Here is a 15,721-nt window from a genome sequence, read left to right as displayed (position 1 = left end):
ATTCTTCTTAATTTTAGCCATTCTAGTCAATGTGTAGTAGTGGTATCTCATGATGGTTTTAATTTGCATTTTCCTGTGACTAGTGGTGTCTGCTGTCTTTTGATAGTTTTATTTGCTATTTGTATATTTTCTTTGATAAAGGCTTGGTTGAAATATTCTGCCCCTTAACTCTTTTTATTGATTTGTAAGTTATTTATATATTCTGGATACTGAATTTTTAAAATATATGTGTTGTGAATATTTTATCTTTGTATGTGGCTTACCTTGTCATTTTCTTAATGATGTCTTTGAAGAGCAGAGAGTTTTAATTTTGACGAAATTTAATTTACTTTTTTTATGATTTATGCTTCTTGTGTATCATTTCATGATTTTTTATGTATACAATTGTGTTGCATGTCAACAAAATATTTGCTTATCCTAAGATCACAAAAAATTTCTCCTGTGTTATTTTCTAGGAGTTTTATAATTTTCGCTTTTATATTTAAATCTATGATCCATTTTCATTTAGTTTTTCTGTATGGTGGAAGGTAAATGTCAAATGTCAAAGTTTATTTAAAAAATATGTATATCTAGTTTTTCAGCACCATTTGTTAAAAAGACTATCCTTTCCCCATTGAATTACTTTGCCCTCATTGTCAAATCCTAACGGCCATGTATATAGCATGTGAATCTATCTAGAATCTATTCTGTTCCACTGATCTATATATCTGTCCTTTCACTCATGACACACTCTTGATTTCTGTAACTTTATAGTAAGTCTTAAAATTATCAGGTAGTATAAGTCCTTCAACTGTGTTCTCAAAATTGTTCTAGGTCCTTTGCAATCCCACATAAATGTTAGACTCAGTTTTGTTGTTGTTGTTCCCCTAAGAAATGTCAGGCTATTATCCATTCTTGTTGTTCAGTGTTTTCTGAACACTGAGTGTAGAAATAGCCACTTTCACTTCGCCCCGATGTTACAGGCATAGCAGAGCATCTGCATCTGTGCAGCTGGCAGGTCCAGGACAGCATCTGCAGGGCAGTCAGTTTATTAGTGTGTACCTTTTGGGATTTTGAGTGAGATTACATAGATCAGCTTAGAAATGATATCTTAACAATATTAAGACTTTTAATGCACAGTCGTGGTATGGCTCTTTAGGCCTCCTTTACTTTCTCTCAGTAGTGCTGTCTACTTTTTTATGTGTGTGTGTTCCATGTATTTTGTTAAATGTATCCTTAAATATTTCATGTCTTTTGGTGCTATTGTGAGTAGTTTTAAAATTTTTATTTCTCATTGTTTATTACTATTTTAAAGAGTCATTTTGACATTTATTTTTGTATATTTACTTGTATACTATTAACTAGTGAAACTCATTTCTAATTGCTTTTTTATAGATTTCATAGGATTTTTATATACACAATCAAGTTACATGCCAATAAAAACAGTTTTATTTATTTATTTTTTTCAGTCGATATGCCTTTTATTTATCTTTCTACCCTTGGTTAGTTGCATTGGTTAGAACCTCCAGTGTGATGTGGAATAAAAGTGGTGTGGGCAAACATCCTTTCCTTTCTCCAATCTTTTTTTTAAATGAATTTCTTAAGAAAGGATCTCTGACTTTCATCTGATTTTTCAAGGGTCTGTCTCCCCAGAAGGAAGAATAATTGCCTTCAAAAATCATTTGAGTGACAGTACTATTGCATCAATATATGTTCTTTTAATTCTGGAATACCCCAACTTATAGGTAAAACATTTAGTCTTTCACTATTAAGTGTGATAGGTTTTCATAGATGCCTTTTATGAGGTTGAGGACATTTCTTCCCTTCCTAGTTTATTATTATGAAGGCGTGTTGAATTGTCATTTCCTTATTCTACATCTATTGAGATTATTATATTTTTATTTATTTTGTGATATGATTTATAACATTGAGTATTAATCAGTTTATTGAAATATAATTCATATAATACTGAGATATAATTCATACCCACCTGAAGTGTACATACAGTTCAGTGGTTTTCAGTATATTCACAGAGTTGTACAACTATCATATTAAATTTTAGAACATTTTGTTACCCTGAAAAGAGCCCAGTATCCATTAGCATCATTATCTACCAACCCTTCCAGCCCTAGATAGCCACTAATTTACTTCTGTCTCTATAGAGTTGTCTATTCTGGATATTCCATTTAAGTGGAACCATATAGCATGTGGCCTTTTATAAACTAACTTCTTTCACTTAGTATAATGTTTTCAAGGTTTATCTGTGGTCAATACTCACTTATTTTTCATTGCCAAATAATATTCCATTGTATGAATATGTCACATCTTTGTGTCTGTTCATTAGTTCAAATCTGACATTTTTCCACTTTTTGGCTATTATAAATAATGCTGTTATGAACATTTATGTACAAATTTTTATGTCGACATATGTTTTCATTTCTATTGTGTCTTTACCTAAGAGTAGAATTGCTGAGTAGTATGGTAATTCTATTTTAACATTTTGAGGAATTGCTAGACTATTGTCCAAAGTGGCTACACCATTTTACATCCTACTAGCAGTGTATAAGAGTTCCAGCTGTGCCGGGCGCAGTGGCTCATGCCTGTAATCCCAGCACTTTGTTTGGGAGGCCGAGGCAGGTGGATCACCTGAGGTCAGGATTTGGAGACCAGCCTGGCCAACAGGGTGAAACCCCGTCTCTACTTAAAATACAAAAAATTAGCTGGGCGTGGTGGCAGGCGCCTGTAATCCCAGCTACTCAGGAGGCTGAGACAGGAGAATTGGGTGAACCCAGGAGGCGGAGGTTGCAGTGAGCTGAGATCGTGCCATTGCACTACAGTCTGGGCAACAGAGTGAGACTCCGTCTCAAAAAAAAAAAAAAAATTAATTCCAGTTGCTCCATGTCCTTGCCAACACCTGTTAGTCTGTCTTTTTCCTAGTGGGTGTGGTATTGATTTACATTACAGTGATTAATTTTTGAATATTAAACTAACCATTCATCTTTAGCAAGGAATGTGTTCATTTCATCTAAGTTGTTGAATCTATAGCCAGAGGGTTCTTTTTGTTTTTGTTTTTTTAAGTAACATTTTCTTGTTAACCTTTTAATATCTATGGGGTTTGTGGTGATTTACTGTCTTTCATTTTCTATACTGAAAATGTGTCTTCTTTTTTCCTGATTGTTCTACCTATAAGTTATTAATTTTTCTCGTTTTTCTAAAGAATCATCCTTCAGCTTCATTTTTCTCAAATTGCTTTTTCTCAGTTTTTGTCTGTTTTCCTATTTCATTGAATTCCAGTCTTTTATGATTTCCTTCTTTCTACTTACTTTAGGTTTAATTTGCTCTTCTTTTTTTAGCTTATTATGGTGGAAGTTTAGATAATTTCAGATTGTTCTCGATGTATTTAAAATACAGATTTTTGTCTAAGTGCTATTTTACCTCTATTCACAGACATTGATAGGTTGTATTTACCTTCCCATCCAGTTAAAATATTTTCTAATTTTTGTTGTGTATTCTTCTTTGATTCATATGTTAAATAGAAGTATTGTTTAATTTTTAAAGATTTTGGTTATTTCTTAGATACCTTTTTATTATTCATTTCTAATTTAATTCAATGTTGGCCAAAGAACCTGTTCTGTATCATTTCAGACCTTTCACATTTACTGAGACATGCTTCATAACTTAGGTGTTAGGTCTTCCTGGTGAATATTGCATAAATACTTGAAAAGTTTGCTTTTTTGTGCAGTGATCTGTAAATGCTATGTAAATTTACTTGATAGTATATTCAAGTCTTCAGCATCCTTGCTGATATTCTGTTTACTGATTCTATCAATTACTGAGAAGCTTTTTGAAATATCCAACTATATTTATAGATTTTTCATTTTCCCTGTCAATATTTTCAGTTTTGTTATATTTTGAATCTCTTAGTATTATTATGTATCTTCTTGATTAGTTAGCCTGTTTATTATTATGGCATATATGTCTTTGTCTCTGGTAATATTCCTTGCCTCAAAAATCTATCTGATATGAGTATAGCAGCTACTTTATTTCATTTTTCTTTAAACCTATTATACCATTATGTTTAAGCTGTGTTTTATTGTAAGCCGTATATGGTTTGGATTTTATTTTATAATTTAATTTGACAAGCTCTACCATTAAATTGTAGGGTTTAAACTATTTTAATTTCATTTATTCTATTTGGTTGGGTTTATATCTGCCATCTTGCTTGTTTGCTGTTCTATCATTCTTTTGTTTTTTCTTCATTTCCTGCTTTTTTTTGGATTAACTGAGTATTTTTTAGTTTTTTATGTTATCTTCATTTTACGAGCTATACTTCTTTTTGTTTTTTTGTAGGGGTGATTGTTCTAGTTTACTATATGCATTTTTAACTTATCTCAGTCTACCTTCAATGAATAGTACACTACTTCATGTATAATGGAAGGACCTTAAGACTTTCATTCTTTTTTTTTTTTTTTTTTAAGTTTTAGGGTACATGTGCACAACGTGCAGGTTTGTTACATATGTATACATGTGCCATGTTGGTGTGCTGCCCCCACTAACTCGTCATTTACATTAGGTATATCTCCTAATGCTATCCCTCCCCACTCCCCCCACCCCAAAACAGGCCCCAGTGTGTGATGTTCCTCTTCCTGTGTCCAAGTGTTGTCATTGTTCAGTTCCCACCTATGAGTGAGAACATGCGGTGTTTGGCTTTCTGTCCTTGCGACAGTTTGCTGAGAATGATGGTTTCCAGCTTCATCCATGTCCCTACAAAGGACATGAACTCATCATTTTTTATGGCTGCATAGTATTCCATGGTATATACGTGCCACATTTTCTTAACCCAGTCTATCATTGTTGGACATTTGGGTTGGTTCCTAGTCTTTGCCATTGTGAATAGTGCCACAATAAACATATGTGTGCATGTGTCTTAATAGCAGCATGGTTTATAATCCTTTGGGTATATACCCAGTAATGGGATGGCTGGGTCAAATGGTATTTCTAGCTGTAGATCCCTGAGGAATTGCCACACTGACTTCTACAATGGTTGAACTAGTTTACAGTCCCACCAACAGTGTAAAAGTGTTCCTATTTCTCCACATCCTCTCCAGCACCTGTTGTTTCCTGACTTTTTAATGACTGCCATTCTAACTGGTGTGAGATGGTATCTCATTGTGGTTTTGATTTGCATTTCTCTGATGGCCAGTGATGGTGAGCATTTTTTCATGTGTCTTTTGGCTGCATAAATGTCTTCTTTTGAGAAGTGTCTGTTCGTATCCTTCACCCACTTTTTGATGGGTTTGTTTGTGTTTTTCTTGTAAATTTGTTGGAGTTCATTGTAGATTCTGGATATTAGCCCTTTGTCAGATGAGTAGATTGCAAAAATTTTCTCCCATTCTGTAGGTTGCCTGCTCACTCTGATGGTAGTTTCTTTTGCTGTGCAGAAGCTCTTTAGTTTAATTAGATCCCATTTGTCATTTTTGGCTTTTGTTGCCATTGCTTTTGGTGTTTTAGACATGAAGTCCTTGCCCATGCCTATGTCCTGAATGGTATTGCCTAGGTTTTCTTCTAGGGTTTTTATGGTTATAGGTCTAACATTTAAGTCTTTAATCCATCTTGAATTAATTTTTGTATAAGGTATAAGGAAGGGATCCAGTTTCAGCTTTCTACATATGGCTAGCCAGTTTTCCCAGCACCATTTATTAAATAGGGAATCCTTTCCCCATTTCTTGTTTTTGTCAGGTTTGTCAAAGATCAGATAGTCGTAGATATGCGGCATTATTTCTGAGGGCTCTGTTCTGTTCCATTGGTCTATATCTCTGTTTTGGTACCAGTACCATGCTGTTTTGGTTACTGTAGCCTTGTAGTATAGTTTGAAGTCAAGTAGCATGATGCCTCCAGCTTTGTTCTCTTGGCTTAGGATTGACTTGGCAATGCGGGTTCCTTTTTGATTCCATATGAACTTTAAAGTAGTTTTTTCCAATTCTGTGAAGAAAGTCATTGGTAGCTTAATGGGGATGGCATAGAATCTATAAATTACCTTGGGCAGTATGGCCATTTTCATGATATTGATTCTTCCTACCCATAAGCATGGAATGTTCTTCCATTTGTTTGTATCCTGTTTTATTTCATTGAGCAATGGTTTGTAGTTCTCCTTGAAGAGGTCCTTCACATCCTTTGTAAGTTGGGTTCCTAGGTATTTTATTCTCTTTGAAGCAATTGTGAATGGGAGTTCACTCATGATTTGGCTCTCTGTCTGTTATTGGTGTATAAGAATGCTTGTGATTTTTGCACATTGATTTTGTATCCTGAGTCTTTGCTGAAGTTGCTTATCAGCTTAAGGAGATTTTGGGCTGAGACGATGGGGTTTTCTAGATATACAGTCATGTCATCTGCAAACAGGGACAATTTGACTTCCTCTTTTCCTAATTGAATACCCTTTATTTCCTTCTCCTGCCTAATTGCCCTGGCCAGAACTTCCAACACTATGTTGAATAGGAGTGGTGAGAGAGGGCATCCCTGTCTTGTGCCAGTTTTCAAAGGGAATGCTTCCAGTTTTTGCCCATTCAGTATGATATTGGCTGTGGGTTTGTCATAAATAGCTCTTCTTATTTTGAGGTACGTCCCATGAATACCTAATTTATTGAGAGTTTTTAGCATGAAGGGCTGTTGAATTTTGTCAAATGCCTTTTCTGCATCTATTGAGATAATCATGTGGTTTTTGTCATTGGTTCTGTTTATATGCTGGATTACATTTATTGATTTGCATATGTTGAACCAGCCTTGCATCCCAGGGATGAAGCCCACTTGATCATGGTGGATAAGCTTTTTGATGTGCTGCTGGATTCGGTTTGCCAATATTTTATTGAGGATTTTTGCATCGATGTTCATCAGGGGTATTGGTCTAAAATTCTCTTTTTTTGTTGTGTCTTTGCCAGGCTTTGGTATCAGGATGATGCTGGTCTCATAAAATGAGTTAGGGAGGATTCTCTTTTTTTCTATTGATTGGAATAGTTTCAGAAGGAATGGTACCAGCTCCTCCTTGTACCTCTGGTGGAATTCGGCTGTGAATCTGTCTGGTCCTGGACTTTTTTTGGTTGGTAGGCTATTAATTATTGCCTCAATTTCAGAGCCTGTTATTGGTTTATTCAGAGATTCAACTTCTTCCTGGTTTAGTCTTGGGAGTGTGTATGTGTCGAGGAATTTATCCATTTCTTCTAGATTTTCTAGTTTATTTGTGTAGAGGTGTTTATAGTATTCTCTGATGGTAATTTGTATTTCTGTGGGATCGGTGGTGATATCCCCTTTATCATTTTTTATTGCGTCTATTTGATTCTTCTCTCTTTTCTTCTTTATTAGTCTTGCTAGCAGTCTATTAATTTTCTTGATTTTTTCAAAAAACCAGCTCCTGGATTCATTGATTTTTTGAAGGGTTTTTTGTGTCTCTATTTCCTTCAGTTCTGCTCTGATCTTAGTTATTTCTTGCCTTCTGCTAGCTTTTGAATGTGTTTGCTCTTGCTTCTCTAGTTCTTTTAATTGTGATGTTAGGATGTCAATTTTAGATCTTTCCTGCTTTCTCTTGTGGGCATTTAGTGCTATAAATTTCCCCCTACACACTGCTTTAAATGTGTCCCAGAGATTCTGGTATGTTGTGTCTTTGTTCTCATTGGTTTCAAAGAACATCTTTATTTCTGCCTTCATTTCGTTATGTACCCAGTAGTCATTCAGGAGCAGGTTGTTCAGTTTCCATGTAGTTGAGCGGTTTTGAGTGAGTTTCTTAATCCTGAGTTCTAGTTTGATTGCACTGTGGTCTGAGAGATAGTTTGTTATAATTTCTGTTCTTTTACATTTGCTGAAGAGTGCTTTACTTCCAACTATGGTCAATTTTGGAATAAGTGTGATGTGGTGCTGAGAAGAGTGTATATTCTGTTGATTTGGGGTGGAGAGTTCTGTAGATGTCTATTAGGTCTGCTTGGTGCAGAGCTGAGTTCAATTCCTGGATATCCTTGTTAACTTTCTGTCTCGTTGATCTGTCTAATGTTGACAGTGGGGTGTTAAAGTCTCCCATTATTATTGTGTGGGAGTCTAAGTCTCTTTGTAGGTCTCTAAGGACTTGCTTTATGAATCTGGGTGCTCCTGTATTGGGTGCATATATATTTAGGATAGTTAGCTCTTCTTGTTGAATTGATCCCTTTACCATTATGTAATGGCCTACTTTGTCTCTTTTGATCTTTGTGGGTTTAAAGTCTGTTTTATCAGAGACTAGGATTGCAACCCCTGCCTTTTTTTGTTTTCCATTTGCTTGGTAGATCTTCCTCCATCCCTTTATTTTGAGCCTATGTGTGTCTCTGCATGTGAGATGAGTTTCCTGAATACAGCACACTGATGGGTCTTGACTCTTTATCCAATTTGCCAGTCTGTGTCTTTTAATTGGAGCATTTAGCCCATTTACATTTAAAGTTAATATTATGTGTGAATTTGATTCTGTCATTATGATGTTAGCTGGTTATTTTGCTTGTTAGTTGATGCAGTTTCTTCCTAGCCTTGATGGTCTTTACAATTTGGCATGTTTTTGCAGTGGCTGGTACTGGTTGTTCCTTTCCACGTTTAGTGCTTCCTTCAGGAGCTCTTTTAGGGCAGGCCTGGTGGTAACAGAATCTCCCAGCATTTGCTTGTCTGTAAAGTATTTTATTTCTCCTTCACTTACGAAGCTTAGTTTGGCTGGATATGAAATTCTGGGTTGAAAATTCTTTTCTTTAAGAATGCTGAATATTGGCCCCCACTTTCTTCTGGCTTGTAAAGTTTCTGCCAGGAGATCAGCTGTTAGTCTGATGGGCTTCCCTTTGTGGGTAACCCGACCTTTCTCTCTGGCTGCCCTTAACGTTTTTTCCTTCATTTCAACTTTGGTGAATCTGTCAATTATGTGTCTTGGAGTTGCTCTTCTCGAGGAGTATCTCTGTGGCGTTCTCTGTATTTCCTGAATGTGAATGTTGGGCTGCCTTGCTAGACTGGGGAAGTTCTCCTGGATAATATCCTGCAGAGTGTTTTCCAACTTGGTTCCATTCTCCCCGTCACTTTCAGGTACACCAGTGAGACGTAGATTTGGTCTTTTCATATAGTGCCATATTTCTTGGAGGCTTTGTTCATTTCTTTTTATTCTTTGTTCTCTAAACTTCTCTTCTTGCTTCATTTCATTCATTTGATCTTCCATCACTGATACCCTTTCTTCCAATTGATCGAATCGGCTACTGAGGCTTGTGCATTCGTCACGTAGTTTTTGTGCCATGGTTTTCAGCTCCATCAGGTCATTTAAGGACTTCTCTGCATTGGTTATTCTAGTTAGCCATTCGTCTAATCTTTTTTCAAGGTTCTTAACTTCTTTGCCATGGGTTTGAACTTCCTCCTTTAGCTCGGGGAAGTTTGATCATCTGAAGCGTTCTTCTCTCAACTCGTCGAAGTCATTCTCTGTCCAGCTGTGTTCTGTTGCTGGTGAGGAGCTGCATTCCTTTGGAGGAAGAGAGGCGCTCTGATTTTTAGAATTTTCAGCTTTTCTGCTGTTTTTTCCCCATCTTTGTGGTTTTATCTACCTTTTGTCTTTGATGATGGTGACGTACAGATGGGGTTTTGGTGTGGATGACCTTTCTGTTTGTTAGTTTTCCTTCTAACAGTCAGGACCCTCAGCTGCAGGTCTGTTGGAGTTTGCCAGAGGTCCACTCCAGACCCTGTTTGCCTGGGTATCACCAGCGGAGGCTGCAGAACAGCAAATATTGGTGAACAGCAAATGTTGCTGCCTGATTGTTCCTCTGGAAGTTTTGTTTCAGAGGGGTACCTGGCCGTGTGAGGTGTCAGTCTGCCCCTACTGGGAGGTGCCTCCCAGTTAGGCTACTTGGGGTTCAGGGACCCACTTGAAGAGGCAGTCTGTCCATTCTCAGATCTAAAGCTGCATGCTGGAAGAACCACTGCTGTCTTCCAAGCTGTCAGACAGGGACATTTAAGCCTGCAGAGGTTTCTGCTGCCTTTTGTTTGGCTATGCCCTGCCCCCAGAGGTGGAGTCTACAGAGGCAGGCAGGCCTCCTTGAGCTGTGGTGGGCTCCACCCAGTTTGAGCTTCCCAGCCTCCAGCAATGGCAGGCACCCCTCCCCCAGCCTCACTGCCACCTTGCAGTTTGATCTCAGACTGCTGTGCTAGCAATGAGCGAGGCTCTGTGGGCGTAGGACCCTCCGAGCCAGGCACGGGATATAATCTCCTGGTGCGCTGTTTGCTAAGACCGTTGGAGAAGTGCAGTAGTAGGGTGGGAGTGACCCAATTTTCCAGGTGCCATCTGTCATCCCTTTCCTTGGCTAGGAAAGGGAATTCCCTGACCCCTTGTGCTTCCCCGGTGAGGCGATGCCTCGCCCTGCTTCAGCTCACTCCCGGTGCACCGCTCCCACTGTCCTGCACCCACTGTCCGAAAATCCCCAGTGAGATGAACCTGGTACCTCAGTTGGAAATGCAGAAATCATCCGTCTTCTGCGTCGCTCATGCTGAGAGCTGTAGACTGGAGCTGTTCCTATTCGGCCATCTTGGAACTGCCCCTGACTTTCATTCTTTGTACTATTTTTGTCATAGATTTTTCTTCTATGTATTTTAAACACTCTATAATACCTTGTTACTATTTTTGCTTTAAACTAAATAAAAATGGAAAAGATAAATAAAAAATGGAAAAGAAGGTCTGTGTTTACCTACACATTTACCATTTTCAGCATTCTTTGTTTCTTTGTGTAGATCTGGGTGTTCATCTGGTGTCATTTTCTTTTGCCTGAAAAAACTTCATTTTTTCCTGGATTTCCACAGTGTTTGGACATTTCCTGAAAAACTTTATTTGTTCATTCTGTCTTGTTTTTTTTTAAAGATAGGGTCTTGCTCTGTCACCCAGGTTGGAGTGCAGTGGCGCAATGATAGTTCACCGCAGCCTCGGACTCCAGGAATCCTCCTGTTTCAGCCTGCCAGGTAGCTAGGACTACAAGCGCATGCCCAGCTAATTTTTGTTTGTTTGTTTTGTAGAGACAGGGTCTCACTGTGTTGCCCAGGCTGATGTTGAACTCCTAGCCTCAAGAGATTCCCCTGCTTTAGCCCCCCAAAGTGCAGGGATTACAGGCATGAACATTGTGCCTGGATTATTCAATATTTCTTGTAGTGCAGATGTGCTGTTGAGACAGATTCTCTCAGCTTCTGTTTGTCTGAAAAAGTCTTAATTTTGCATTCTTTTAAAAAACTTTTTATTTGGAAGTTTATAGGAAAGTTGAAAGACTATCATAGTGAATGCATAGACTGTACCCTTTGTACAGATCCACCTATTGTTAGCATTTTGCCTCATTTGCTTTATGAATTACTCTGTTCCTCTTTCTCTCTTTTTCTGTGAATGTGTGTATGTGTCCATATAATTACACACATATTTTCTTCTTTAACTGCCTGAAAATAAGTTATATAGTGTTTACCCTTTACCCCTAAATATGTCCTTGTATTATTTCTTAAGAAAAAAAGATTCTCTTTTATTGCCACTGTAGTTAGTACTTGTAGTAGATTTAACTTTGTTATAATACTTTTATTCATCTATCCAGTTTTGTTAGTGGACCCAATAATAACCTTTGTAGATTTTTTTTCCTGCAGTACATGATCCAGTTTTGGATCACATATTGCATTTCGTGGTAATATCTTTTCAATCTCTTTCAATCTAGAATAATTCCTCAGCCTTTCTTTGTCTTTTATGACACTGGCCTTTTAAAAGAATACAGTCTTTGTTGTGTGTGTGTGTTTTTCAAGTAAAATCTTCTCATTCTGGCAGAAAATTCAGATTATGCCTTCCTGGCCAGAATACTATATAAGTGATGTTTTGTCTTCGGAATATTACATCTAGAGCCATTTGACATCTGTGTACCCCTCATTTGTGATATCAGGCCTGATCACCTGGCCAGTTTCTCTCTGGTTTATACTTTACATCCGCTGCCTTGCTACTAATAAGAAGTCTGCAGAGACACTTCAACACTATGTAGCTATTCTATACCTCATTAAGATTTCACCCCTATATTTAGCATCCTTTGGTAATTTTTCTCTAAACTATTCTTTTCTGTGATAGTTGCAAAATGATGATTTTTCAACTTTAGCATTGGTTTCACAGTTGCTAATTGATACTTGGCATGATTCTGAAAACAAGAGCCCTTCCCTCTGCCTTATTATTATTTTCTTTTTCTTTTTTTTTTTTTTTTTTTTGAGACGGAGTCTCGCTCTGTCGTCCAGGCTGGAGTGCAGTGGCACGATCTCGGCTCACTGCAAGCTCCGCCTCCCAGGTTCACGCCATTCTCCTGCCTCAGCCTCCCGAGTAGCTGGGACTACAGGCGCATGCCATGCCTGGCTAATGTTTTGTATTTTTAGTAAAGATGGCATTTCACCGTGTTAGCCAGGAAGGTCTCAATCTCCTGACCTCGTGATCTGTCTGCCTTGGCCTCCCAAAGTGCTGGGATTACAGGCGTGAGCCACTGCGCCCGGCCTGCCTTGTTATTTTCTTATTTGTCTCTTATGAATATGGATTCACAGATTTTTAACTCATTACTTCTCTTAATTATTTTCGTGTTTGTATTTTTCCACATTTGGCCAGCAGGAGTGTCTTCATTCTAATTCCTGTCCTCATGACATACACCCCCATTATTTTCATTACCGTCTTCTTATTTCTAACATAACAAGATATTGCAGACTTTTCTTGCTCTTCCATGCCCCAGCCCTGAAATCAGCCATTTCTTTGAGGAGCGCTGGTCCTTTTTATTGGTGAAACCAAGATATGGCTACCAGCTATGCTCATTGCTACTTGGTGTCTTTGCTTCTAGGCTATTTGAGCAGATGAAGCTGGGAAATATATGCATATATGTGCATATATATACATACGCACACGTGGATACATATATACATACACATGCATGTATGCATATATATACATGTAAATCCATGTACACTTACATGTTTCAAGGCTCTCAAAAGTATTTCATACTGTAGCAGTTTTGTTTTGTCTCCAGAGCATTAATTGCCTGTTGGATCATTTTTATGATGGTAGCTTTAAAATTCTTGTCAGATAATTCCAGCAACTGGGTTGTCTCAGGTATTGGCATCTTGTCTTTTTTCATTCGAGTCGTGATTTTCCTGGTTCTTAATATGTCAAGTTTTTTTTTAAATTGTATTCTGAGTATTTTTTATATTCTAATGACATTCTAGGTTCTATTTAAATATTCTAATTTAGCAGGAAGTCATCTTGTTTAAGTTTAGCATGCAGATCCTGGCCTATTTTTGTAGGCTGTGGTTCTAATGATGATTTAGTTCCCAGATCCCTTGAAATGTTATTTTGGTCTACTTTATTTAATTGCTACCTAGAGACTGTTGTGAATACCTGATATTCCACACTGTGGTTCAGTTTTCAAACCTTTTGGCATATTAATTGTAAACAATTTCACATGTTGGTCGGGGATGCCCTGCACAGGCTGAAGGAATTCTTTTCTCCAGTTTCCTTCTCTTTGATATTCTCTTCTCAGTTATTAGTTGAGAGGGTGCAGTTGTCAGCTGCCATCATTGGATGGGGTGTAGAAGTCTGAGCTCCTCACTAGGCTTCCACTGACATTGTTGCTATGGGAGGACATCCTGCACTAGGACCCCTTCCACCTCTGGTTGATGGGTAGAAGTCCATGCTCCCCACTTGCTCTCTGATAATACTGCACAGGGCAGGGAGCATCAGCAGTGTTTTGCTTGGGTAGGTCAAGTATTATCAAGGTTTCTGGGTACCCTCTTTTTCAGTCCTTTGCTTATAAAGAGTAGATTTTTCTTGAGGCTTTTTTGTCTGTTTCTCTTGATGGCTCTGGACTTCTCCAGAGCATAGTCTATAAGATACAGAATACAAAGACACCCCAGGGTGACACACAGTGTCATTCCTCACATGCTGAGATCTTAGCCAGTCCATCTTCCTCTTTCTACTTTCCAGAGTTCTCTTATAGTTGTCTGTTATATATCAGGGTTTTTAGTTGTACTTAGCGGAGAAATGAGTCTAATCCATCTTGTTTGGAAGAAGAAATACTTTTTAATGTATTTTAAATTTCTGTTTTAGGGGCAAACACATTTAAGATTATGTCTTCTTGGTAAATTGACCCTTTTATCACGATATAATTTCCCTTTTTTTTTTTTTTTTTTTTTTGAGATGGAGTTTCACTCTAGTTGCCCAGGCTGGAGTGCAATGGCACCATCTCAGCTCACTACAACCTCCTCCTCCTGGATTCAAGCGATTCTCCTGCCTCAGCCTCCCAAGTAGCTGGGACTACAGGCATGAGCCACCATGCCGTGCTAATTTTTGTATTTTCAGTAGGGACGGGATTTCACCATGTTGGTCAGGCTGGTCTCGAACTCCTGACCTCAGGTGATCCACTCGCCTCGGCCTCCCAAAGTGCTGGGATTACAGGCATGACCCACTGCGCCCGGCCCCTAATTTCACTCTTTATCCCTGATAACATTCATTGTTCTGGAGCCTATTGCGCCTCATATTAATAAAGCTCCTCCAGGTTTCTTTTCATGACTGTTTACATGAGACATCTCTTTCCATACTTTTATTTTTAACCTATCTTTTTATTTAAAATGGGTTATTTTTGATAGTATATAGTTTGGTCTTGCTTTTTTATCCAATCTGACATCCTCTGTCTCTTAATTGGTGTTTTAAAACCCTTTCTTTAATGTAAATACTGGTGCAGTTGGCTTTGAATTTAATATCTTGCTGTTTTTTCCTTTGTTCCGTCTCCTTTTTGTTATCTTTTTTTGCTGTTTTTTGGATTGAGCATTTTTATTATTATATTTTATTTCTATTATTGTCTTATTACTTTACCTCTTTTTCAAAAAATTTTAGTGTTCTCTCTAGGGTTTGCAGTGTACATCTTTCATTAGTTACAGTCAAGTAATTATACAGCCTCACTTGTAAGAAACTTTTAACAGCATACTCCCAACTCCTAATTCTTTGTATTGTTATTGTCATGAATTCCTTTTACATATACTGTTAAACCATTACATTGCTATTGTTTGTCCATTAAACAGTTATCTTTTAGAGTAGTTAAAAACGAGAAAAAAGTATATTTTATACTTATCTTCATGTTTACCATTTTCACCAGTTTTCATTTCTTCTTAGGTAAGTTTCTCTCTGGTTCTTCTAATTGAAGAACTTGTTTTAATACTTTTTGTAATGGAGGGCTGCTAATAATACTTTCTCTCAGCTTATGATTTCCTCAGAAAGTTTTTGTGTTTCACTTTTGAAAGATATTTTTATTAGAATTCTGGATTGGCGGGCTTTTTTCTAATGCTTTAAAGATGTCACTCTATTGTTATCTGGCTTGAATAATTTCTGATGAGAAGTGTAATGTAATTCTTGATTTTTCTTTATATAATGTGTCTTTTTCCTCTGATGGCCACATGATTTTGTCTTTGTGTCTATATGCATGTTGTTGTCATTTTGGGTTTGTTTTTATATCTGTGTTGCTTGATCTTTGAAATTCTTGCATTTGTGGTTTGGTGTCTTTCTTATATTTGGCAAATTCTAGACAGTTCTTCAACGATTTCTTCTCCTCCCTTTTTTCTTCTTCTGTGATTTCTATTATGTGTATATTTCTTGATATTGTCCCATAGCTCTTAGAGGCTCTGTTCTGTTACAATTTTTTTTCTTTTTCCTTTTTTTCTCTCTCTGTGTTTCAGA

General features: G+C 37.4%; 1 protein-coding gene and 1 non-coding gene across 3 annotated transcripts in view; one reads left to right on the top strand and one right to left on the bottom strand.

Moving 5' to 3' along the window:
- Nucleotides 1-15,721, top strand: part of RAD18 (RAD18 E3 ubiquitin protein ligase) — an 86,398-nt gene that overhangs the window by 30,969 nt on the left and 39,708 nt on the right. The gene's annotated exons all lie outside the window — the stretch shown is intronic.
- On the bottom strand, nt 872-1,009 carry LOC124900561 (small nucleolar RNA SNORA43). The gene has a single exon (XR_007096310.1). It is a non-coding gene; the product is annotated as a small nucleolar RNA SNORA43 (small nucleolar RNA).

The sequence above is a fragment of the Homo sapiens genome, chromosome 3 (assembly GCF_000001405.40).
Source record: "Homo sapiens chromosome 3, GRCh38.p14 Primary Assembly".
NCBI classification, from domain to species: domain Eukaryota; kingdom Metazoa; phylum Chordata; class Mammalia; order Primates; family Hominidae; genus Homo; species Homo sapiens.
Note: the sequence above shows the minus strand (reverse complement) of the source record. Positions and strands in the feature narration are given on the sequence as shown.